Source organism: Homo sapiens, chromosome 14 (genome assembly GCF_000001405.40).
Source record: "Homo sapiens chromosome 14, GRCh38.p14 Primary Assembly".
Taxonomy (NCBI): Eukaryota; Metazoa; Chordata; class Mammalia; order Primates; family Hominidae; genus Homo; species Homo sapiens.
Genome location: NC_000014.9, coordinates 99,422,233 through 99,447,836, shown reverse-complemented (window position 1 = coordinate 99,447,836; position 25,604 = coordinate 99,422,233). Strand labels below are relative to the sequence as shown.

At 43.9% G+C, this 25,604-nt stretch overlaps 1 protein-coding gene and 1 pseudogene across 9 annotated transcripts in view, besides 2 other annotated features; one reads left to right on the top strand and one right to left on the bottom strand.

Moving 5' to 3' along the window:
- Positions 1-25,604, top strand: part of SETD3 (SET domain containing 3, actin N3(tau)-histidine methyltransferase) — an 88,711-nt gene that overhangs the window by 38,622 nt on the left and 24,485 nt on the right. The gene's annotated exons all lie outside the window — the stretch shown is intronic.
- On the bottom strand, positions 3,425-3,531 carry RNU6-91P (RNA, U6 small nuclear 91, pseudogene; annotated as a pseudogene).
- Positions 21,925-22,787: an enhancer, noted in NCBI's record as "H3K27ac-H3K4me1 hESC enhancer chr14:99891387-99892249 (GRCh37/hg19 assembly coordinates)". NCBI's record gives its function as "activates a minimal SCP1, AML or CMV promoter by ChIP-STARR-seq in naive H9 embryonic stem cells {active_cell/tissue: H9 hESC(naive)}" and the evidence as "EXISTENCE:reporter gene assay evidence [ECO:0000049][PMID:30033119]".
- Positions 22,788-23,651: an enhancer, noted in NCBI's record as "H3K27ac-H3K4me1 hESC enhancer chr14:99890523-99891386 (GRCh37/hg19 assembly coordinates)". NCBI's record gives its function as "activates a minimal SCP1, AML or CMV promoter by ChIP-STARR-seq in naive H9 embryonic stem cells {active_cell/tissue: H9 hESC(naive)}" and the evidence as "EXISTENCE:reporter gene assay evidence [ECO:0000049][PMID:30033119]".

The window sequence follows — 25,604 nt, the reverse complement described above, 5'->3', positions numbered from 1 at the left end:
TACTCGTTCTTAGAGGAAGTAATAAGCCTATTTGCTTTTTTTCCCCCAAGCTATGAGGAAGCTGGTTGTGCTCTATTTTTTTCTTTTATTGTTATCCTTACCGGTTCAACTTATTTAATGAAACAAAGACTGAAAAAACTAGGACTTAGGACATCAGTCCAGGCTTGCCTGTTCTCTGGAGAGTTGCCGGTGCCTTTATAAAGTTTGGTAGAGCCACTGGCTGTCTTGGTGAAATGCCCTGACCTGTGACCTTGCCTGTTCGTGATAGCTGACATTGAGATTAATTTGTGTTCAGTGTGTAAGCACTGCCTTCGTTGTGTGCTATTTAAGGTTTCCAATTTTGTAAATTACTCATTCTAAACACATATCTCATTTTCATCATTTCCATAAATGAAAACTGTAGCTATGTCATTTAAAAGATCTGTGCTTTTAACTATGTTCTTGTTTTGTAAATGTTATAGATCACATGGAGACTTCACCTTCTGTGAATTTAGTGTTCTTCATTTTTTCTATTTTGTCCAGCTTTAGTTCCAGTGGCTTTTGGGGGACTGAAGAAATGAAATGGGCTGGGCACAGTGGCTCACGCCTTTAATCCCAGCGCTTTGGGTGGCTGAGGTGGGCAGATCACCTGAGGTCGGGAGTTTAAGACCAGCCTGGCCAGCATGGTGAAACCCCGTCTCTACTAAAAAATACACAAATTAGCTGGGCGTGGTGGCGTGCGCCTGTAGTCCCAGATACTTGGGAGGCTGAGGCATGAGAATCGCTTGAACCCGGGAGGCAGAGTTGCAGTGAGCCAGGATTGTACCACTGCGCTCTAGCCTGGGTGACAGAGTGAGACTCTGTCTCAAAAAAAAAAAAAAAGAAATGAAATACTTTTTCTTTGTCCTTGGGGCTCTGTCTGGGGTCTTCTCGGTGGTGTGTGTCCCTGCCTTGGAGCCTGGGGGAGGGTGCCCCTAGTGTACACTGGTGTGTCCCCCTGAGGCGGGTTTGAGTTCCCAGGTCAGACCCCAGCATCTGCATCCTGCCCTCGGGACTGGCAACGCTTCTGCTCTGTCTTCCTCGCTGACCCTTCTCACTGGAAGTCCTCCTATTAAACCATGGCCTTCCTCCTCTTCCTCATCTCTTTACCTGACTGCGGTCCTTGGCCCTTTTAGGAAAAGTGTTGCTTTTGTCAATCAGTTTGGGAGCTGATGTCCAGCAAAGTGATGCACGTTTTCCCTAGCCTCCCACCTTACCTGTGACGCAGGTGTTTGCATGGGAGTAGAGGCACCCATAGGGGCATGGAATACAGACTTAAAGGGCAAACAGTTACCATGGAGTCCCAAGTGATATAACTTGGGGCTGGCATCCTAACCAAGGAAGGTTAGGCAATGCCCGCTGTGGGCTGAGCACGGTAAGACTTTTCTTACTTTCTATTATATAAGGAGGTGTCTGAAACTATACCTTCCTAGAATAATCTGAGACAGAATTAAACAAATTAGAAGAAAGCTCCAATACCAGGTCTAGGCTGTCATTGATCGTTTAATTTGTGTACTGAGAAGTCAGAATAGAGGCCAGAAATACAGGGCTTTCTCCTAAGACAGTGTTCCTTGGCGCCTCCAAATGCCAGTGGTGGGCTGAGGGCCCTGACAGAGGCTCCCTAACCCTCGCTGTTCCTCCAGAGCTGGGCACCGTCCCCATTTTATAAGTGAGGAAGCAGGTGTAGGAACAGGAAAGCTCGCCAGAGCCACTGAGTAAGCCCAGTCAAGGCGGAAGCTGAGACCTGTCTGACCCTAGACACAGTTTTTCCTCCATCTCCTCTGTCTCCACAGGCCTGTCCCGTTCTGTGATTCCTTCTCTCCCCAACTCCAGTCCCAGCTTTACTTGTCCTGGGCCCTCCCTATGAGTCTGATCAATAAGAGCTTTGTGAAAATCCCTAGAAGTTTAAAAACAAAAGAAACTTCAAAAAATTCCTTTTTGAAACCTGCTTTAAAACAAAACCAAACCTAAGATCTTCCCTGAGTAGATTCTCTATCCTCTGGGACAGGATTTTTAGACCTTGTTTTTGTTTTGTTTTTAATGTGTATGATAGAAGAGGGAACCTGTTAATGTTTTTGAGGTGACCCTGAATAAGTATCCTTATGAGAACACTCCCACATTACACACATTTGTAATCACTCACATTCGTTGATATATTGGTATACCCATACTCTGGTGTCCCTGAAGAACTGTGCAATTCTTGTAATTTCTTCTGCTCTTAATGGTTTAGACTGCAGCTATCCTGTGGCCGCCCTTTGTAGCTATAATCTACTCTCAAGGAAGAAAACGGAGGTGATAAAAGCACAAAAAGGAGGAAGGGGTTAGAGGACCCTCCAGGACATCAGCTATTATTAACATGTGACTTTGAATCTGAGTCTGGGACCTCTCAGCAGCCCAGTGTGGAAGCACAGTTGTGACTTTTCACCCCTGCTGCATTTTAATATCAAGTGGATAGTAGATGGCTTAACTTTAGTTGAACTTGAGTGAATGTATAGTGAGTTGGTGAAATGATTGCCTTAACGGAAATGCTGGTGCTGATGGATCTTTGTAGACAGAGAGTGAGGGCGTAGTATATTCTGTTGCCGTTAGTTTATAAGGTACCATTGATGAGACCAAGTTCAGGTCGTCTTCCTGATTTCTTCGAATTTGAGAGCCTGAGTATTGGTGAGGCTTGGCTGCCAGTATTCATTTGGGATATTTGCCAAGGAGGATTAGATAACTTTCTGCATTTGCATCGCATATTACCTCTACCTGGAATTGATATGGCCTGAACACTGTTTTTGAATATTTTTTGCTTCATTTGAGTCCTTACGAGCTTGCAGTCCACTCCAGGTGGACCATATCTTTTACCATCATGGCCTTTTTAAAAAAACTTTACTTCTCTTATTTTTACGTTTTTTCAAGATGGTTAAAAACATTTTCTTTAATTGACATATTATAATTGTACATATTCATGACATATATCAAGTTGTTTTTTTTTTTTTGAGACAAAGTCTAGTACTGTTACCCAGGCTGGTGTGCAGTGGCTCAATCACGGCTCACTGCAGCCTCCACCTGCCAGGCTCAAGCCATCTTCCCACGTCAGCGTGCACCACCATGCCCAGCTAATTTTTATATTTTTTTGTAGAGATGAGTTTTTGCCATGTTGCTCAGGCTGATCTCAAATTCATGAGCTCAAGCGATCCACCCGCCTCGGCCTCCCAATGTGCAGGGATTACAGGTGTGAACCTGGCCCATTGGTGATGTTTTGATACATGTAATGTATAAGATCAGAGCAGATGGATAATTAGCATATCCATCATCTCAGTTTTTCATTTCTTTGTGTTGGGAATGTTCAGTATCCTCGCTATCTGAAACTATGAAATGTGTTAATGTTAACTATGGCCATCCTACAGTGCCATAGGACAAAAATATGGAAGTCTTCACTAGTTTGTGTGTCATCCTTGCGCAGGTGCCATGCTCATCTTCCCAGTATTATTCCAGTTTTAGTATATGTGCTGCCTAAGCGAGCATGGAAATTCATTTTAGCTGTAAGTTTGTGCTGGGCAGATTATCCAATAAAAGTGCCCTTGTAATCTAATAGTTCTGAAATAGCCTTGTGAATGGCAGATCCCCTGACTGCCCTGTCTGTTCTGCACCCAGCCTGCCAGCTTTGCCTTTTCCACTGATGTTTTTGTGGGATGCAGTGGACCCCAGAAGAACAGTACCTCAGATTTCAAGCTTGTGACCCACTAGCTCAGCCTGGCCAGGTTAAATTGGTGTCTTAGGTTCCCTGTAGAAAGGGTCTGTGATTGTCAACCTGGCTGCGTGGGAGTAAAGAAGGTGATGTCTGTGACAGGCCCAGCACTCAGGGACTGAGTCCTGCACTGATGCAGGAGCTGTGTACTCAGCAGTGTAGTCCTAGCCTCCTTCCAAGAGTCATGACCCTGCTCAAGATCTGATTTTGCAAGGCAGCCCTTTCCAGAGCGAGAAGACTATATAGTTAGAAAGCCATTCCTTATATTGAGGCAAAATAGGCCTCCCTGTAACCTTCATCTTACAGTTTTGTTTCTGGTTTTTAGAGCAAGAGAGTCAATCTCATAATCTGCAGCATGAGAATTCTTTTTACTCACCAGTGAAGCATTCATAACCTCTGTCAGGCACCTGCTTGGAATTACAGGTTTACACAGTTAATCGGAATAAATCCTGTCTTCCAAAGCTTACATTCTAATCATATATAATTCAGTAAAAAGTGATGTCAGGACACAGATTAAAAACAAAATCATGGGACCAGGCACAGTGGCTCACGCCTGTAATCCCAGCACTTTGGGAGGCCAAGGTGGGCGGATCACTTGAGGTCAGGAGTTTGAGACCAGCCTGGCCAACATGGTGAAACCCCGTCTCTACTAAAAATGCAAAAATCACCCAGGCCTGGTAGCGTGCGCCTGTGATCCCAGCTACTCAAGAGGCTGAGGCAGGAGAATCGCTTGAACCCAGGAGGCGGAGGTTTGAACTGAGTGCCACTGCACTCCAGCTGGGCAACAGAGTGACACTCCATCTCAAAAAAAAAAAAAAAAAAAAAAATGGGAGTTCAGAGAAGGAAGATTGCTTTATGGAGAAATTTGAGGAGGTTGTTTTATTTTTGTTTTTAAATGGGAAAAGTGGCATTTGGAGAAAATGATCATGATGTAAAAACCCACATTTGTTTAGATCCTTATAAAATGTGTTCACGTCCAGCTTCACAGCTCGCCCTCACAATAACCTTGTAATACAGGTATGTAACTCTCCCTATCAGAAGATAAGAAAATGAGGCTCAAAGGGGTGGCTTGGCCAAGGCAAATGGGGTCTGTGCCACAACATCAGCGTCCCGTCCGCGTCAGAGTGTGTGGTTGGTGGTCGTTCTTTGGGCCACTGTTCCAGTGTCTTAGAGATGCACCTGGGTATTCGCTCCCCTCTTACCTGGCAGTCAGTACCTGTCAGCACGTACATTTGACTCTTGAACAGCACAGGGGGCAGTGATGCTGACCCCACCCCATGCAGTCGAAATCCATATAACTTCTAACTCCCCAAAACTTAACTACTGTTGACCAGAGGCCTTACCAGTAACGCAAACAGTTGATTAACACATATGTTGTCTGCTAAATGTATTACATACTGTATTACAATAAAGTAAGCTGGAGAAAAGAAAACATTATTAAGAAAATCATAAGGAAGAGAAAATACATTTCCTATTCATTAGTGGGAGTGGGTTATCATCAGGGTCTTCATCTTCGTCATTGTGACATTGAGTAAGAGGAGAAGGGGTGGGTCTTGCTGTCTCAGGAGTGGCAGATCTGGAAGAAAATCTATGTATAAGTGGACCCACTCAGTTCATACCCGTGTGGTTCAAGAGTCACCTGTATATTCCTTCATTTGTCTATCTTCCCAACTTGAATGTAAGCCCACTGAGGACAAGGACTTTCCTTCATTCTCATCTAGAATGTGCCCAACACAGAGATGGTGCTCTGTAATTGTCTGTTGAATGAATAAAGCACTCAGTAGCCAAAACAGCAAACAACTAACATTTGATAAAACTCAGCCAGAAACTGTGTATTTCATTTCATTCTTTTAATAACCCAATGAGAAGGTATGATTACTTTTATTTTACTGAGGAACTGAGACTCCCTGAAGTTTCACAGCCAGGAAGTGGCTAGGTTGGGGCTGATTGAGATCTGATGCGGAGCCGGTGTGCTCAGTCAGTGTGCTGTGTCCTCCACAGCCGCTTCATAGTCAGAATTCATGCCGTGGGCGTCTGCGCACCAGAGGTCATGAGTTTTGGTCTGGAGAGATTGGGACTGTTTAAAATGCCTGGGGGCTTTCTTACCATGATTTCTCTCACTTTAGATACATTTTCCTTAGCCACGACTCCATCACCCAGTCCTGGCCACTCTTCTTTCTTCCAAAGGGTCCCTGTGCTCTTGACCTCCTCAATGTAGCTCCACCAAGGGGCTCTTTTTGGAATATAAATAGTAGTCCATGTCTCCCCACTGACTTTTCCTTACGCTTAGAACAAACTCAGAGGGCTGGGCTGCCCAGATGGCCCTGCCCCTGCTGTGGCCTCATCAGGGGCTGCTTCCTCCCTCACTGCAGTCCACTCCCTCTGGTGGTGATCAGGGCCCAGGACTTGCCAGCCTCTTCTCCTCAGGACTTTGCTGTGGACCCCCTTCCTGCCTGCTGCAGGCTTCCCTGGGTTCTTCTAGCCTTGGCATAGAGTCTCTTCTGACCGTGAAGACCCCCTGACATCTGTGCTAGCGTGCGGTTTTGTCCTCTTGCAGATGTGTCGCTGCCTGTGATTGCTTTTGTGTTTGTCATCTGTCCCCTTCCCTGGAGTTTGAGCTTTAAGAGTGGGGCCTTTCTGTCCTTGGGCACCACTGTGGCACTGCCGCCTGGCCTAGTGCCTGTCACACAGGAGGGCTCAAGCAGCGCTGGTTGAATGGGGAACTGATTGCCTTGTTCTCTACGTGTAAGTCACGTGTGGCCAGGCTCTCTGAGGGCTGTGAGCCCTCTGTGCACACAGAAGCACCTGATTAGGTCCTGTGGTTCAGTCGTAAGTGGTATAAGGAGATATAAAAGGAGTGAGGTCCAGCCCATCCGCCACACCCCACACTGGGTCCCCACTGGGCTGGGTCCCTCACAGACAGACAACTTTTCCCAGTTTGTACAAAGGTCCCTGTTAGACACTTTTGTCCCTCTATGACAGGTTTACCCCTACTGGGATGAATGCTAAACCTGAGAGGAGTCTACAGCAGCTTAGGTGAGGATTGTCGAGGGTGTGACAGCGTACTGTCACTCTGCTCACAGGCCTCATTGGCCCTGAGCATCAGCGTTCCTGTCCTTTCTTTGTCTTCTGAGAAGTGAAATTCACAGGGAGGAATTTATCAGATCCTTAGCTTTTATTAGATTTAATCGAGCATCTCTTCAGATAACTGGCTTGTGTTCTCTTGGGCTATTGTATTTTTCTGTTGCTTTTTTTTTTTAAGTGCTTTCTGTATTTTCCAAAAAATGGGGTGATGTGAAATATACTCCCACAACACTGTCAAGCCCCTTTTGTTCTTTTTTTTTTTTCACCCAGTGTTCCCTACAAGGCCTCTTACCTCCCCACAGATGCCGAGAGCTCTCTTCAGGTGCACCCTATGCCCTCTTTCTGCACCTTCTTACTGGCTCTGCTTTAAACGCACAAGCTCCCATTGCCACGTTCCACTCCTGAGTCCTCCAGCCAGGGCTCACTGACCGCAGTGAGACTTAGATTCGCTCTCTGAGCTGTTCCAGTGAATCGCCCTCCCCTGCGCATGATGTAGACACCGGAGGCTGTGTGTATTGCTCCTGACCCTGTCCCCTACTGGCTCTACTGGAAATTACTGGGTATTTCCACTTCGCACGTGTAGTGAAATGCGATTATCGACAGTTCGAGCCTGAATTATATTTTTGGAGAGCTGCTACTTTTAGGCCCACCTGTGTTGTTTAGTCCCTGAGCTTGGTCACGTGTTAATGGTTTGCGTACTTTTGTCATTTTGCAAATCAACTTTATCCTTTCAGCTTAAAGGAAAAAGTGAGTTCTAAAAATTAGTAATAGAGAACATAGCATGGATACTGTGTTTATTTTTATTTACATTCAGTCTCATCGGGAAGAACATAGTAACATTCATATTCTTTTAAAAATAAGTCAAATTACTACTTATTGAAAATATTTTCTGCTGGGCTTGGTGGTTCATGCCTATAATCCCAGCACTTTGGGAGGCCAGGGTGGGGAGATCACTTTAGCCCAGGAGTTCAAGACCAGCCTGGGTAACATGGTGAAACCCCAACATGGCGAAACCCTGTCTCTAAAAAAAAAAATACAGAAAGATTACCTGAGCATGGTGATGTGTGCCTGTAGAGCTACTTAGCAGACTGAAGTGAGAGGATGGTTTGAGCCCAGGAAGTGATGGTTGCAGTGAGCCAAGATTGTGCCACCATACTCTAGCCTGGGTGACAAAGCCAGATCCTGTCTCAAAAAAGAATATTTATACATATAAATACATACATTTATGTGTATAAAAATATAAATACATACATTTATATGTATAAAAATATAAATACATATATTTATATGTATAAAAATATAAATACATATAAATATATAAATATGTATTATATATACTTACATATTTATATATGTATATATAAAAATATAAATATGTTTATATATTTAATACATAGATATGTTTTCTATATTTATATATAAATATATGTATTTCAGAATATATATGTAATGAGTTTTGCTGAATGCTTCTCCTGTGGTTCGGTCATAGGTACTATAAGGAGATATAAAATCAACATGAGGTCCTTGCCTTCTAGAAGTTTATCATTGGAAATTGAAGGAAAACAAACAGGAAATGTTGACGAGCAAAAGTGGTAAACTGAGGCAGTGCTCTGTTGTCTGATCTCTGTGAAGCTTGGGGCAGTCAGGTGATACCTGAGTGGGGCTTGAAAGGCAAAGTTGTCTGGTTGGAGGAAATAGGTCAGCAGCAGTCTGGAGTTGGGGGTGAGAAGGGCATGTATGGAAGAACTTGAGAAGAGCAGCCTTTGCCTCTCAGAGGGCACAGCCCTGGAGCTGAGAAGCCTGTTGTGGATTTCCAGCAGGAGCTGCTCCTATGAGTCTGTCGCCTGAATCTCCCAGGGTTGCCTGTAGTGCCTGTGGCTCCCGCCAAAGTTGGGATCAAGTGGCTGCTGCTTTAGCAGTTCTCTTTGTGTGATACGTGCTGAAGCCACTCGGATGCTCTGAGCCTCAGTTTCCATATTTACAATCTACCCTCTGTGACAGACTTGTGAATGTAGCTGAGCTATCATGAATATAAATATGTTTTTTAAGTACAATCATTCTTCTGATGTAATTAACCTGAAGCTGGATGTGAGCACCTTCCTATGATGTTGGAAAGCAAAGTCCCTGTATTGGATGTAAAAGGCAAGAAGATGAAACAGAAAGGCCTGTTCACGGTGAGAGGGAGAGGACTAGGTCCTGAAGAGCCTCCAGCAAGCCTTGCCAGGTAGTTGGGATCTTATCCTGTAGGGGCACATGGTCAGACTGGCACTGGTTTGGTTGCTTGCTTAATGACAACCCCAGCGGCAGGGAGGTGGACGGTTTGGAGGCCATAAGACTACTTAGCCTGGTGAATCCGAGAAGTACCTGCAGGTAGAATTGACAGGATCTGGTGACAAACTGGATGTGAAGAGTTCGGGAGATAAGGATGATCTTGAGGATTCTGGAATAAATTGGTTTTAAGTTTACCTTGCTTATAACATGACATTACTAACCTTTCTCTGTTTTGAAGCTTTATGGTCTAGAATGGAAATCTTCAATGCTAAATTCCTAGCTTATTCTAACTTGTCTAAACCAGAGACACACCACAGGTAATCTACTATGCTTTGCATCCGAGCTTTCAGTTCAGACAGGTTTATTTTATTCTTTGGAATATATATTTGAAACCTTTTGTATGCAGAAGTCAAGCCTAGAGCAAATTTTTATTCTTAAATTATAGGCTTGTGAAAGTGAAGGTTTTAATGGAAGTGCTCACCCAACCTTAACCGTAGTGACACACACATGGTAGCATGTCTGAACGAAAAGCTGTCAGAAAGAGCAGATTTCAATTTAAATATATCAGTGATTTCAAGACCAGCTCTAATGAGTTTCAGAACCTTTGTGTCAGTCTCATGTTTTTTCCTTAAATGCTCTGAAGTCATTTAAAATTAATAAGCCAGTTTTTATTTGATAGAGTTTACAACAGAAATGCTGCCATCGGCTTTGAAGTCCTTGTTCTTGTGTGGTCTTTAAAGTGAATTAGTGGCTGTGGTTTCTGGAACCAGAAGGAGGTTGGCTTCTCATGAATGGGCATGTGGGCTGACCTGAGGGACTGCTTATGTACAGTTAGCTGGTATCTAAATGCAGGTACTGCCTCAAGTGAATGTAGGTGACGTAGTGACAAAGGAAGAATTTCAGTTAATGTAGATGTGAAATGGAGTTTCTTTGAGTGACTGAAGTGTTGAGCCAAGTTACATTGAGGCTTTTGAAATAGTATCTCAAAACTGAAAGAGATTTATTGAGACGAATCAATCTTTCTGTGTGTCACACACACACACACGTATACACGTACAGGCACGCACACACATCATATCACACAGTCACACGGTCACACACAAGTCTCACTGATCTAGTGCCTTTTCTTTTTTGGTAGTTACCTGTTATCAAGCACCACTGACGTGTGAAGAACGTCGTTAGGTGCTGGGATTGCAGAGAGGTGCTGGTGTAGTTTCCATTTGCAAGGAGCATTCAGTCTAGTGGAAAACCAAATGCAGTATATAATGTAATCACATTGAGGGGTTGGCGGAGTAGCCCAGAGGCAGGGAAAGCAGCAGAAAGAGTGGGAGTAGGGAAGACTTCACAGAGGTGGCACTGGTCACTGACCCCTGAAGAGGACGTAGGAGTTTTCCTGGTGGAGGGTAGAGGGCACAGCATGGCCATGCAGTGGGCCTGGAGTGTGGTGTGCACAGGGAGGTGGCAAGGTAGACATGCTGGAAGGGAGGGAACAGAACTCTTGAGGTAGCACTTTACTCAATGCCAAGATCCACATTAACACAATTCCACTGAATCCTCCGCGTGCCTGCGAGGTCTGGGTACTTCTGTTCTCATTTGACAGTGAGGAAATTGAGGCCTATTTGCTGGCCTGTCTGTTTCAGGACCTCAGTTCATACCTAGTTGGTGATAATCCCTGGACTTAATCTCATATCTAACTGAACTATCTTCTCTATCCACGGTACTGTGCTGACTTCATCCTGTAACCATGGGAGCTGGTCATTCATTCCATAAACATTTATTGAGACCTTCTGCTCACCTACTGCTGATTTACATTTCAACACAAGCTGTGGAAATGTTTTAAGCAGTGGAGGGAGGTGCTCAGGAATCTTGCTAAAATGGAAGGACTTAAACCGGTGCTGAAGAACCCAGGGAACACTTACTGGATAAAAAAATACAGCTCCTGTGTGGGGCCACGAGTAGTAGTGACTGTGTTGTTTGCAAGGTCAACACTTTTCAGCACAGTGCTAGATTTTTCTGGTGTGTGGGTAGGTACTTCCTTCCTGGAGAGGCTGCCGAGAAGAATTAAAAGCACCATAAGAACACAACAGTGGACCGAAGCAAATTTGCATTAAGAAAAGGCCATTCCAAGCCAAACTCACTTACTTTTATTCTTTTGAATTTAAGGAGGGCCGCTTAATCTCAGCCTAACACTTATCCCTGTGCTGTAATAGAGAATGCTGTCTGAGCATGTCTGGGGAGTACTAGTGGATGGTGTCAGGCTGCAGTGAGATGCTGGTGGCCATGTCCAGGCTCTGTGCCTGACCCTGTCTTGCCTAACACTTCTGTCAGGAATGCAGAAGACCCTGTTTCTGGATGATGGAAAACTGAGAAGGAAAGCTCTATGTAGACCAGGCCGTTCTTGATTTAGAAAACTATTCGACACAAGCTGTTTGATGAACTTTCCCGGGAGTCACTTGGAAGGCGGAAGTACGGTGGTGATCTGGTTAGGCTTTGTGTTTCCACCCATCTCATCTTGAATTGTAATCTCCATCATTCCCGTGATCACCACGTGTCAAGGGAGAGATCAAGCGGAGGCAGGTGAATCATGGAGGCGGTTTCCCCCATGTTGTTCTTGTGATAGTGAGTTCTTACAAGGTCTGATGGTTTTATAAGGGCTCTTTCCCCTTTGTTTGGCACTTCTTCCTGCTGCCTTGTGAAGAAGGTGCCTTGCTTCCTCCTCCTCTGTGATTGTGAGTTTCCTGAGGCCTCCCCAACCATGCTGAACTGTGAGTCAATTAAACCTCTTAGCTTTATAAACTACCCCGTCTTGGGCAGTTCTTCATCGCAGTGTGAGAATGGACTAATACAGGTGGAAAGACCGATGACCAGACATTGGAGCCCTGGAGTCATCTTCTTTCTTTGTCAGTTATTCACTTTGTGACCATAGCCAAGTCCCTCAAGCAATCTGAGCCTCAGTTTCCATACTTACAAAAAAAAAAAAAAAGGTGGGGGGGTGGGGAACCTGCCTTGTTTCTCCTACAGGTGTGTGAAGCCAGGTGTGAAATGGAAGGAAAGGTATTTCTAGATACAGAGGATTTTTACAAGTGCATGTTTTACAAATAGAGCTTCCTGTCATGGCCCTTTAGGGGTGCTGAAGAGGGGATTCTTGGACTAGGTGTGAAAGACGTTGATGGCCCAGGATAGTCCTTGCCAGTTCTGTAAACTATTGAGTAACTGTTTACATTCAGGGCACTCGTGGGTGTTAAAGGCACTGCTTCAGCTCCGTTCTGTTGAATCCCTAGTTGACAAGCTATCGGGAAGTAAGACACATGGGGAGAAGCTAAATGTCAATAAAATACTTGAATAACAGCTGATCACAACAAAGGATTTTATCAGTCAGCATAGGATTAACTACCAAAATTCTAGGTAGAAATTGCCAAGAAAACTTGAGAGGCAGGAAAGAGTCAAATGATTTATGAGTTTACTACCTAAAAAAATATAGCTATACTTTAAAGACAATGACAGCTTCCAAACATTGAGCATTATAAACTTTTAAAATAAGGTTTATTCATAGTCTATGAATAAACATGACAATATGCATGGCAAATAACAGAAAAGGATGAAAATATGTACCTGGTGGTAAATGGTATCAGAGTAATAACGAATAGGCCTTTGACTACTTTGTTAATTTTTTAAAATAGCTGGTATTAATAGAATAAAAATATAATTTTTTTTAAAAGGCTGGGGCCAGTTAGTAACCCTCCTATAGCAAAGATGAGCCAGTTTGGGGAGTTTTCTGTCAACTTTTAATTTTTTAAAAATTGAGATTTAACTTGTACATAATGAAATACATGTATATTAAATGTAGGTTGTTTTTTTTTTTTTTTTTTTTTTTTTTTTTGAGGCAGAGTTTTGCTCTTGTTGCCCAGGCTGGAGTGCAGTGGCGTGATCTCGGCTCATCACAACCTCTCCCTCCCGGGTTCAAGCAATTCTCCTTCCTTAGCCTCCCGAGTAGCTGGGATTACAGGCTTGCGCCACCACGCCCAGCTAATTTTGTATTTTTAGTAGAGACGGGGTTTCTCCATGTTGGTCAGGCTGGTCTCAAACTCCTGATCTCAGGTGATCTGCCCACCTTGGCATCCCAAAGTGCTGGGATTACAGGCATGAGCCACCACACCCAGGCAGGTTAGTTTTTGTACTCAAGTAGCACAACCAAGATGAAGACATGGAACATTTCTAGCAACCTAGAAAACTCCCCACTGTCTTTTCCCCGTCAGTGCCCCGCCCGTGTCAGGGGTAAGCGCTCTTCTCATTCTGTAAAACTCCCCACTGTCCTTTCCCCATCAGTGCCCCACCCATGTCAGGGGTAAGCACTCTTCTCATTCTAAGGCCTTTGGGTGCTTTGCCTCCTTGGGGTTTTTGCGTTGGGGGAGCATGCAGTAGGGACTCCTTGGTCTCTGGCTTCTTTGGCTCAGTCTCTGGAATTCACCCATGTTGCTGTGTGTAGCTGTAGTTTATTCTTTTTGAAAATTTCTGTATAGTTTCTCACTGTATGAATGTACCAGTTTTTTATCTGTTCTGTCGATGGACATTTGGGTGGTTTCCAGTTTTTGGCTATTACAAGTGAAGCTGCTAGAAGTAATCTTGTGTTTATCTTCTTGTGGACATATACATTCATTTCTTCTGGGTATTCTCTTGGGAGAAGAATCATTGGGGTATTGAGTGATCGTATGTTTAGCTTCAGTAGATGTTGATAAACCGTTCTCTGAAGTGGTTACACCAATTTACACTCGCACCAGCTATCCACAAGCATCCTAGTTGCTCTACTCCCTCATTAGCGCTTGGTTTTTTGCGATATTCTGATGGACATGTAGTATTATTTATGGTAATTTTGATTTACTTTCCTTGATGGCTAATGGTGTTGAGCATGTTTTCATTTGCTTATTAGCTACTTAGATGTCCTCTTTTGGGAAGTGCCTGTTCAAATGTTACGCTCATTAAAGAATTTTTAAGGCCGGATGTGGTAGCTCACACGTGTAATCCCAGCACTTTCAGAGGCCAAGGCAGGTGGATCATGAGATCAGGAGATCGAGACCATCCTGGCTAACATGGTAAAACCCTGTCTCTACTGAAAATACAAAAAATCAGCTGGGTGTGGTGGCACATGCCTGTAGTCTCAGCTACTTGGAAGGCTGAGGCAGGAGAATCGCTTAAACCTGGGAGGCAGCAGTTGCAGTGAGCCAAGATCGCACCACTACACTCCAGCCTGGACAACAGAGTGAGACTCCATCTCAAAAAAAAAAGAACTTTTAAAATATATATTTTTTAACTCAAGATACCTGAAATATCTATTAAACATGTAATTAATATAAAAATTATTAATATATTTTACACTGTTTTTATAAGTTTTGGAAATCCAGTGTGTATTTTGGGGATGTATATTACATTATTAATTTGTAAAATTGTAAAACACACATAACATGAAATTTGCCATTTTAACCATGTTTAAGTATACTAGTGTCATTTATTGCATTGACAATGTTGTGTAACCATCACCACCATAGAAAATTTTTAATCCCCCCAAACAGAAACTCTGTGACTGTTAAGTATTAACTCCCCATCTCCCCTCCCTGCCATTGCCTGTCTTTAACTTGGCTTTTTCTTCTGGATGCGTGTCCTTTACAAGATACACATTTTGTGATTATCTTCTAGTTTGTGGTTTGCCTAGTCACTTTCTTAATGATATTATTTGATGAAGTTCTTAATTTTAACAAAGTCTAATTTATCAGTTTTATTTTTTAAAGATAGTGCTTTTTGTGTCCTTTATAAGAACTCCTTGTTTAGCCCACCGGTTCTCCACCAAGAATGACTGATCCCTTGGGGGAATAGAGACATTTTGGCTGTCACACCTGGGCCTGGGGTGCTGTAAACACCCTGCAAGACAGAGGACATCCCCACAGCAAAGAGCTGTCTGTCCCAGAGTGTCAGCAGGTTGAAGCTGGGAGCCTCTCAGCATGAGATGGTGAGAGTGTTCTTGTGTGTTTGCTACTGGAGGCATTGTTGCTTTGTGTGTCACTGTTACGTCTGCATCCATCTCTTCTTAATCCTTGTAGATGTGATGAGAAGAATTTAAGAGAAATCTTGGTCATTCCACATCTGTGCCCTTAGACTTTTGTTTAGAACAAAGCTCAGTACATTAATTATGGGAGCTTTATGTGGACCATATTAGCATATGGAACTGAAGTTTTGCTTTTTGGTGGCTTAAAAGCAATACTTAAAGTGTGAATATAAATGGCTTGGCATTTGCAGAAACCAGAGATTTTTTTCCTGCTTTGATTCAATTATTAAGAACTTGATTTAGCATTTTTGTCATTGTTGCTTTTTAACTTTCAGATTAGAATTGTAATGAAGACTGAAATACTGACATTTTTTCCTGCACAAAATATTCAATTCAGAAAATAAATGGACTCTAAAGCATGCTGTTAATTTTTATCAGGACTCTTACGGGTTCTTTGCACTCAGTGCCGTGATTAACTAACTGGACATTTGCCAGGTAGAAGGGAATTTGTCCTTTAATTTTTTTCATGTAGTTCAGTGTATTTTTACTTGTCAGGTCTCCCATAAAACTGACCACTTAAATATACGAATCTTAGTAAAGTAGGTGGTGCCATTTAAGGGTGGTCAGAGGAGGGGAAGCAGTACTTTCAGAAGAGGTGTTCTTGAATGACAGCTGTCATTCAAGATGGATCATGATGAAAAAGTGGTGTTATGAAAACTTCTCTGTGTATTCATGACCATGTTGAGCAGATTCATAGTATTCCCGAGTTAAAATTGACTTGTAATAAGAATTTGTGGTGGTAGAGTGGTCATCCAGTGTGTGTTGTGGGATGGCAGTTGCTTTGCTGTGTGAGAATGACCCTGGCAAGGGGATCAGTTGCTCTAGGTTTAGACGCTAGGGTCTTGTTTTAAAATCCCTACTACTGTAATCCCAGCACTTTGGGAGGCTGAGGTGGGCAGATCACCTGAGGTCGGGAGTTCAAGACCAGCCTGGCCAACAATGGAGAAACCCCGTCTCTACTAAAAATACAAAATTGGCTGGGCGTGGTGGCATGCACCTGTAATCCCACCTACTCAGGAGCTGAGGCAGGAGAATCGCTTGAACCCGGGAAGTGGAGGTTGCAGTGAGCTGAGATCGCGCCACTGCACTCCAGCCTGGGCAACAAGAGCAAAACTCTGTCTCAGAAAAAAAAAAAAATTCCTACTAATGCATGTTGCTATTTTAGGCCACTGCTGGCTCCCTCTTGTACTTTTCTGCGTTTTTGTGAATGGTGTGCACTAGAAGGAGTGCTAGAGTTGGAATCAGAACTCCTGCGTTTGAGTCACAGCTCTGCCTGTAAATCACAAAGGGGTGGCAGGTCACTTGGCCACAGTTTCTCCATGTGGTAATGGGGTTGCCAATCACTGCCTTAGGTTGGTATTGGAAAGATTGGATGAGAAGTATGAGAGCACTTCATGAAGTATAAATCTTCACAAAAATGTAAGGGACCCACTTGGTGGAAATACCTATTTAACAAAATCCCTATTATGTGTTATATTTGTGCAGAGACAGCACTTGAGGTGGTTAGGTGAAGAGGATTGGAATCTCCTGTACTTTCTGGTTGGATGACCTGGGGCAGGGCTTTTCTGGGCCTTTTATCTGTAAAACAGGAGTGATGGCCACTGTGTGGTTTACATTTGTTAATACATAGAAGATGCTTAGGACATTTTATTGTGTCTGGCACACAGTAGGCACTCAGTGTTCATTGTTACTTTTATTGTTACTGTTAGATTAGAGCTGATTTGAGTGAGTGAAATTTAGGACCTGCCCCATGTCTGCACATACTGACCAGTCCGCTGGACCCAGGTGAGGTTTGTCCTGGAATATTTAGTCCTGGTTGCCAGCCCTTTGTGGGCAGGTGGGCATGGTGCTCGTGGAGGATCTGCTGTGAGAGGAGAAGGTGGCGCCTGGGCTCAGCAGTGCCAGGTTCAGTCACTCGCTGATGCATCACCTGCTTCCTCTCCCTCATTTCCTCAGTGGCGCCACGTGAGCCCCTAGAGGCCTGAGAGCAAACTCCCTTCCTGGCTACAGTTCCTAGCCTAATGTTTGGCACTTGATAAATGTCTGTTGAATAAATGTTCGTTGTTTGCAGGTCAGGTCAAAAGGTGTATTAAATACCCTGAGGAACAAGTAATTAATATAGCTGGAGTCTTTGGTGCTGGTGTCAGAAACCTTTGACTTTTTTCCCTATTTTAAAAACATGAAATTATTTTTGAATTTTAAGTCATATATACATGGAATAGAAAACACTAGAAAATATAAACTAGCATCAGGTAGAAAATTAAAGCTTCACATATTCTGTTTGACAGGGTTTCAGTGACCCAGAACCTCAAGTGGGCAGATCTGGATGGGCCAGAAACCTCAGTGTGAAATTCAGCTTCTCCCAGACTTCACTCCCATTGTGCATGTGTGTGTGCATATCTGTGCACCCAGGGCAGGGAGGGCTTTATTCAGAGAGCAGAGATCTTTCTTTACTCTTCTCCTCCTCAGTGGGAGCCAGTGCTAAACTTGGTTCCTGGATTCAACTCGAGTGAGCATAAGTCACCTGGGAAACTTACTGAAAACGCTGTTTCCTGGGCTTCCCTCTCTGGGCCCATCAGGCCCATCTTGAGCCATCAAGGCTGGGCTCACTCCCCCTCCCCTCTCGTTTAATGGCTGGGGGTAGTGACTGCTTGTCTTTGGACCCACTCCAGAATATCTTACCATTTCCTCTATACTTCACAGTTTTCATCTGTTTCAAAGAATGAAAACAGGTGTGTGGAATTGAGGAGACCAAAATAAATCCTTAAGCATATAAGGTAGGCCTTATGGAGGCCTTAAAATTACTTGATTTTCATAAGTAACTTTGGGACTTAAAAAGATTCAGATGGGTTTCTATATTGGATTTGCTTCTGTTCAAGACTCCTGGTGTTGAGGCACCTCTTCCTCACGTTTTAACTAGCCAGTGTCTGTCTGGAGTACAGAGCACATGTTTCAAAGAACTTGGATATATCCAAAACCCATAAATTTAGGACTGAAATAGGATGTTAGTTATCAGATGACTGAGTGAATGCTGAACATATATGGAAACAAAAGAGACAAGAAATGGTATAACCATATTAATGACAATCATGAAACAGACCAAATGCCTCGCACCCTAAGCAAAGTCTCTTACATCCCGTTTAAGAGAATCGGGGTGCTCTGTTTATGTTTAGATTTCTTGGCTTCTTTCCATTCCATCTCAGAGTTTCCCCTGCGTCTCACCAGTGCTCCTTTTCTTCACTTTTCTTTTCTTGTCCAGCCTGTGCCCTTGGTGGTGTGATGCCTCCTGTGTCTGTGTTCTGTCACTTACTTGCCCTCCCTTGTGTCTTTCTTTTTTCTTCATCCTTTTAAATCCTCTTCTTTTTTTCCTGCAAATATGTTTGGTTCCTGTGAACAGAACAGTTCAGTGCAGAAGGGCACTAACATTTACTGGGTTCCTGGATCATGGAGTGGAGATCCCATGGAGCAGAGGCACAGGCAGCACCCAGGGAGCATGCAGTGAGTGAGAAATGACTCCTGGAGACACCGTATTATGGCAGATTCCAGCCCATCTTGACTAATAGTCATATGTTTGTGTGAATTTTTTTGAGAAGTACACCCAGAAGTTCATAATTAAAATTTTTTTTTCTTTGCTGCTTAGAGGCTTAAAACACACATTTATTATCTCACAGTTTGTGTGGGTCAGAAAGGCAGGCATGGCTTAGTTGGGCTGTCTGCTGCAGGGTCTCTCTCAAAGCTGCAGTTAGGGTGTGGTCTCATCTGAAGGTGTGACTGGGGAAGGGTGCCTTCCATGCCCACTCCTGTGATTGGCAGCAGGCTTCAGTTCATCAGTGCCTGGGTTTCTTGCTGGCAGTTGCTAGAGGCCACCCTCAGTTCCTTGCCACATCAGGCCCATAGATTTTATCAGATTCTCAAACTTCACCTACCCCCTCCCCACATTTTCTCACTTCCTCCATCACTTGTTTTGTTTTTCTTTCTTTTTTCTTGAGACGGGGACTTACTCTGTCACCCAGGCTGAGTGCAGTGGCATGATCTCGGCTTACTGCAAACTCCACCTCCTTGGCTCAAACAATCCTCCCACCTCAGCTTTCCGAGTTGGTGGGACTACAGGTGTGTGCCACCACACCTAGCTAATGTTTGTATTTTTTGGTAGTGATGGAGTTTTGCCCTGCTGCCCAGGCTGATCTCGAATTCCTCACCTCAAGTGATCTGCCCTCCTGGGCCTCCCAAAATGCTAGGATTACAGGTGTGAGCCACTGCACCCAACCCCTCCACCACTTGTTTTGATTCATCCTTTGGCAGATTACTTTTCCTAAATGCTGAAGACCAGGGGGTGCTCAGTGTCTACAAAGTCCTTGTTCCTGGATGGATACTAACTTACTGACACCTCTCAAGTGCCAGCAAACTCTGGTAGCAGGGATTGTCTTCATTTTACATGTGAAGTAACAGACCAGATGGGTAGCACTGCTTGGGGCCACATAGCTAATACTCTAATGCTCCTGCCGTGGGCACTGTGCCACCCTCTGCAGGGCCTCATGTGTTGGGACTGCACTGGCATTGCACCTTTTCATCCCTCTGTGTGCCAATCGATTCTGCAAACCCCAGCTGCTCAGCTTCCCTTAACAAGCCCTCCTTTCCCTGCCTCTGCCATTTCCGGTACTCTCTGTCTGGGATGTCTCCCTTCCCACATGGAAAATCCTGCCCATCTTTAGAGACTTAACTCGCATGCCACCTCCTCTGTGAGTCATTGCCAGATCCCCCTCTTCCCGACAGTGACTGCAGCTTCTTTTCTGAATTCCAGCACGTGTCATGTATCCTGGTGTGACACGTCACAGTTTGCCTGTCTGGGCTCCCTGCTCCAAAGTCGTTGGCTCCTTAAAAGCAGGGAACTCATCTTGCTCATTGTCCCCCCACAATGCCTTGCACGCAGCAGACACACAGTGCAGGTTTGGGGAGTTGACGGACGAAGCTTTGCTGGGAAGCTTTAAGATGAGATTAAAGTGGCTCTGAAGCTGCAGAAATGTGCATTAGTACATCAAGGATAAAATTATACCACTTTATGCCTTGGCCTCCTTTATCGTTTTCTATAAAATAATAGCTATTTTACTTTGATAACTTTTGAGATTAAGCAAAATCTTTCTTGAAAGTTTAACACCTGTTCCTTTTCCTACTTTTTTGCAGATATAGTTCATCCTACAGTTTTCACACTTACTCACAAGAGTAGCACAGTAAATATTACATTTATTTCATTATGTCCTGTTTTTTAAAACATGGGCATATATTTTAAGCAGTTAAAGGCTAAAAGATGTGGTTATTTTGGTTATCCTTATGATGGGGTAACGTATTTTCACTGAAAGTCAGTGGGCATCTTCCAGTCAAATGGAGAAGTTGTCTGTTTCGTAATACAAAGGTATGTTTTCCTTGTCAGCATCATGTGCACCATTAAGTTTCTGTGAATAATTTGAAGTACCTAGCTTTATTTTTCGAGCTAAAAGGTTAATTTGCAAAATGACCACACTTGGGAAAGTTAGCAGCCTCGTCATAGGAACATGACAGGAGGCGCTCCGGATGCTCCCCAGCTGCCCCCCACGCTCTCTTGCCTGCCAAGTAAAACCCTGACATCACCGCCTGCTTCTCCCTGCGTCCCCACCTGAGTTACTGATTGCAGCATGTGGGGCATGCAGTGTGGGGGAGGCAGAAGGTGGGGAGTAGGTAAATATGAAAGGCAAGGCCTCTGCCCTCGTTGGCCGAGCGAGGTGTAAGTGGACACTTTGGAGGCTGGGATGATCCTGAACCTAGGAACTGAACCTGGGAACTTGCTTTTCTGAGCTTGGCAGGCCGTTCTGGTGTGAATTTAAATATGCTCCCCCCTGGGAGAGGACACCTTAAAAAATAAAGGGCAAATTTTAAAGGGAATCTACACGTTGGTCAGTGATCACTACTAGATGGGCAGTCTCTTACTTTTCTTCCAACCTACGATTATGACTTCTGGGGAAAATAGGAAGTGGCAATGGTGAATATGGAGTCAGTTCATATTTATCAGCACCTTCTGTTTGCCAGGTCCAGCAGGAGAGCTAAGGACTCTCTCTGCTGGGTCCCCTTCCGCCCTCTCCCCACATTCAGGCCTCAGCTGCTCTGCTGCTTTCCGTGCTCTGCACACCCCAGCACCTGTTCCCTGTTGTTGCTTCCTTCCTGTTTGTGACTATTTGTCAGTGTCCACCATCCAGCAGACAGGAAGATCTGTGAGGGCAGAAGCCAGGTCTGTCTTGCTCCCTGCTTTTCCACTTCACTCAGAGTGGGTGCTGTGAATATTTGTTGAATGAGTGAATGAATGAATGAAATCCATGAAGCAACTCAGGAGCAATTTCACGTGGCATAAACCAGAGTGCTACGTGGTATTTTGTAGACTGCATGGGTTAGACATTTAGAGGTCACTGGAGGTCATATGTAGATTTGAAGGCAAAGGAATCTTAAACCTTGTCTTAGGATTTGGCTAAGTGGATGGGGGGGCGGATTATTCCAATAATTGGATTATTATTCCAGTCTGGAAAGTTGTGAAAATGTGTATGTTTGGGGGAGGAGGGTTTGAACTGTTTTCCACACCAAGTTTTTTTTAGGGATTAATAATCTAAGATTACCTCTAGGTTAATACAACAGCTTGTTTTTTTTAGAAATTAAAAGGTAAATAGGAAAAATAATGGTCATTTTGCTGAGCATAGAGTCTTAACTGACAAAGCTAATGATCTGGAAAAACCTATGTTGGAAAATGTCACTTTATTATATATGTCTGGAAGTACAGATGGGAAAACAGATTTTTTTCTTTTTGCAGTAGATTCATTAAGTGCTTAAGAAGAGATTCTCTTCTGTACCATCTTTACAGCCTGAGTAATTGGAGGCTAAATCTAAACTCCACATTGTCTTATGTTTCTTGCAAAAGAGGTAGCTGGATTGCTATTTTCTGACACTTAAATGGAGGTCCATTTCTAGGCATCTGCCAGTGCCTTGCTTAGAGCGAGATAATCCCTTCTGCACCTGCCGTGTACAAAGCGATTATGGCAGAAACTAAAGACTAATAACAGCTGACGCCTACTGACTGCTTACTGTTTGCTGAGAATGTTCCACTGAGCACAGAAACCTTAGGCACTTGCTCCAGGTCTTCCAGGTTCAGAGCTGGCGCTGGGCTTTGCAGGGCTAGATGCCAGGCAGGTGCTCTAACCACTTGGCTCTGCTGGGCCACACGGCAGCTCCCAGTGCCCGCTGGCAGGCCTTTCGTGTTCTTGCATGCGCCTAACCCCTTGTGGCTCCTACTCTAGGAGAGTTAAATACCAAGGTGTGCACGTGGATGGCGGAGTTCCTCCTTGAACCTCTGACTTTGGCAAGATAGTTGGCTAACCATCTTGTAGAGGGTAGGACTCCTTAGTTCAGCAAACCTGCTAGAGTGTTATTTTGTGTGCCAGTGCATAAATTAACCATTATTATTTATAGTCCTGTTTCTTTTGGTCTGGTGCAGTTTAATTTAAAAGAAGTAGGGAGAAGTGAAACTGGTTTGCTGTGATTTAGTCCATCAGCCCTCCCTCTGGACTGCCTCATCCCTCCTGTTCTATAGGGCACCCTCCGAAGCCCCGTGTCCTCCCCACCATCCCCTTTCTCAGCTTCTGCTCCCGGGTGCTGAGTGTTGTGAAGTTTCCAGGTGCCATAACAGTTAGTGCAAGGTGAGTCTAGCCTTCTCAGCCTGGCCGGTGAGTCTCCTTCCTGCCTGGAGAAAGGCACAGTTGTGTCTTACCGGCTTCTCTCTCACTTCCCTGGGTACAGATTCAGGGTCTCTGTGTCTCAGCTCTTCCTGGGCTCCCCTCATCCCTGCACTGCTGAGAAAACTGAGACCATGTGACAAGAACTTCCTTTCCTTTTGTCTCCACCTGGGTTTCTTATGTCCTCCTCTCCTCCCCTCCCTCTGAGGAAGGGACCCCCCTTAGAGCTAAGGGAAGCCCTGGGGCCTGGTCAGGAACTCAGGTCAGGAGCTCAGCGACATTGGCCCTGTGTTTTCACTCTTTCTTTCTGTCCTGGCTTTATCCCCTTGGTTTACAGACAGCCCCCATGCCTTTGAGATGATGTCCTGTCTGTCTTCCACCTTTAATCACAACATTTATCAAGAACATTCCACACTGAGAGTTCTTCCAGCCCCAGCAGCCTGGCTCTCCCCGCCCTGAAGTGTGATGCCCTCTGGGAGGGCCTGGGGTCTGGCTTCTTTCCCTGCCCAGTCCCCTCATCCTCCCCACGTTCCTGCTTCGTTCTTCCTGCTCTTCTGAATCTCCAGGCTTTTCTGACCCTACCATTCCTGTCCCCCGAATGTAAGAGCTCTCCAAGTTTCTGGGCTCCGAGTTGGGAGTCAGCTGACCTGGATTTCAAAACCCAATTCTGAAGTCTTTTCTCATCTATGACTATAGTCAAACATCTTATAGTAAAAGATAGCTTAAGTCAGTCTATTGGATTTCCTGCATTCTATTCCAGGTGGACAATTTAATAATTACCTGTTTTCTAGGTAGTGCTTAAAAGATCTGCACTGATTAAACTATTCTTTCATTGAAAATTTGTTTCCAGAAATTGAATGCTCCAACAAAATGGTATCATTCTTAACAATGTGAGATAGTATTTCCTCTGGAAAAAAAAAAAAGAGAGTGAAATCCATTTTACCACTATTGATCAGTAGAGCATTTAATGAAGAAAATATAAGGCAAAGTATGATTTTTATGAAAAAGGAAGTAATCAGACTTGAATTTTCTAACTTGTGCTACTTGGATATCCCTTGGCCGTTCTCATAAGAGAAACCAGGTACAGGTGGGTGCACTCTGTGTGATTTGGCCTTGCTTCTTTGTTCTTCCAGATTTTACCCTGTTCAGTTTAAGACAGAGTGTACCTTTAACAGTACTTATGGAAGTACTGTGAATGACTTTTTTTCTAACATATCTTAATGCTAATGGAGAAATAGCAAGTACTGATGGCATCTTAGTGCCTGCTCTTTTTTTTTTTTTTTTTTTTTTTTTTGCATAACAGTGCTTAAGAGCCTTCTGGTATCTATTTTGGACTCCTAATGAAATGAGAAAGGCAATTAAAAAAAATCAACTGAAGATAATATGAAATAGTTTTGCTTAATAACAAACCTCTCAGGTACTCTACCCAAAGGTATGGAGATTTTAAATTATGTTTGGTTATTCAAGTGTCTTGACTTACTATAATACCATTCTATTTTGATTCTAATAAATTATAATCCTATAATTCAGTTCGTTGCCGTTTTAATGGGACATTTTACTAGTAATGTTAAAATATTCATTTTATTTGTCAAATTTCAGGGTAATATGTTTGAGGGTTCCCTTCTCAGAGGATACAAAAAAGGGTTACTTAGATTTTGAGAGCTATAGCTCTTTCTCAGTGACTGTATATTATAAACAAAGAAGTTTTGTTACTTCCCTCTGAAAGGCCTTTACACCTCCCTGCTGTAGGTGAGAACAGTAATTTGGCTGTATCTAGAACAACCCAGGGACAGTGTTGCGGATTTTCTCTTTGATTGGTACCTTTTGAACACTCTTTGAGCGTGGGGAATAGAGAAAAGGAGGGAATATGAATAACTGGAAACTGCTTCCCTCAAGTAACTGAGCTTCCTGAGGTGGAGGAGCAGAGCCAGTGCATCTGCGACTTGCTGGTGTCCACAAACCCTCTGTCCCCAGGCGCCTTGGGGGCCGCGGGGCTCCACAGAGCCGCACACTGAGCCTTTGATGGGGGAAGGGTTTTTGAGCTGTGTTTTCTTCCCTGCATCCCCACTTCCCTCCTTTGTGACCAGCAGCCCGGTATGGTACAGTGGGGACCTTTACCTTAGATTTTGTTATCAGTGAGATTTACCTAAGTAAACTCCTGGCAGCTGGTGACAAGGCAGTGTATGTGATGTGTGGATTTAGATGGTGCTCTTTGAGAATGTGGCTGTCTCAGGCTCAGTCAATTGTGGCAGTCCTCCTAAATCAGTGGGATTGACTTATTACATCAGGATTTGGCTTGTCTTTGTTAGAACCCCAACAGTCTACAGAGAAGGGTTCTCAGATTCTGTGGTGCACCCCTAGAGCTCATTCCTCATGAGCTCCTCATAGACTACTCAACTTCCTTTAGGCTTAAAAGCAGAATGTTTAAGGGACCAAAGTTCATTTCCCTAACAACATGACAATAAGGAGAGTTGAAAGTAGCCAAAAAGATAATGCTAGTATAATAACTTGATATAGTGGTTTAATGATTGGCAAAGCTGTGGGGTGTCTTTGAGGCTGTTAAGAGTTATCAGAAAAATGATAGAATTCCAGATGATGGAATATTGGAAATTGTTGGGACATCGATGTGGCATCATTCTAGTGAAGAAAA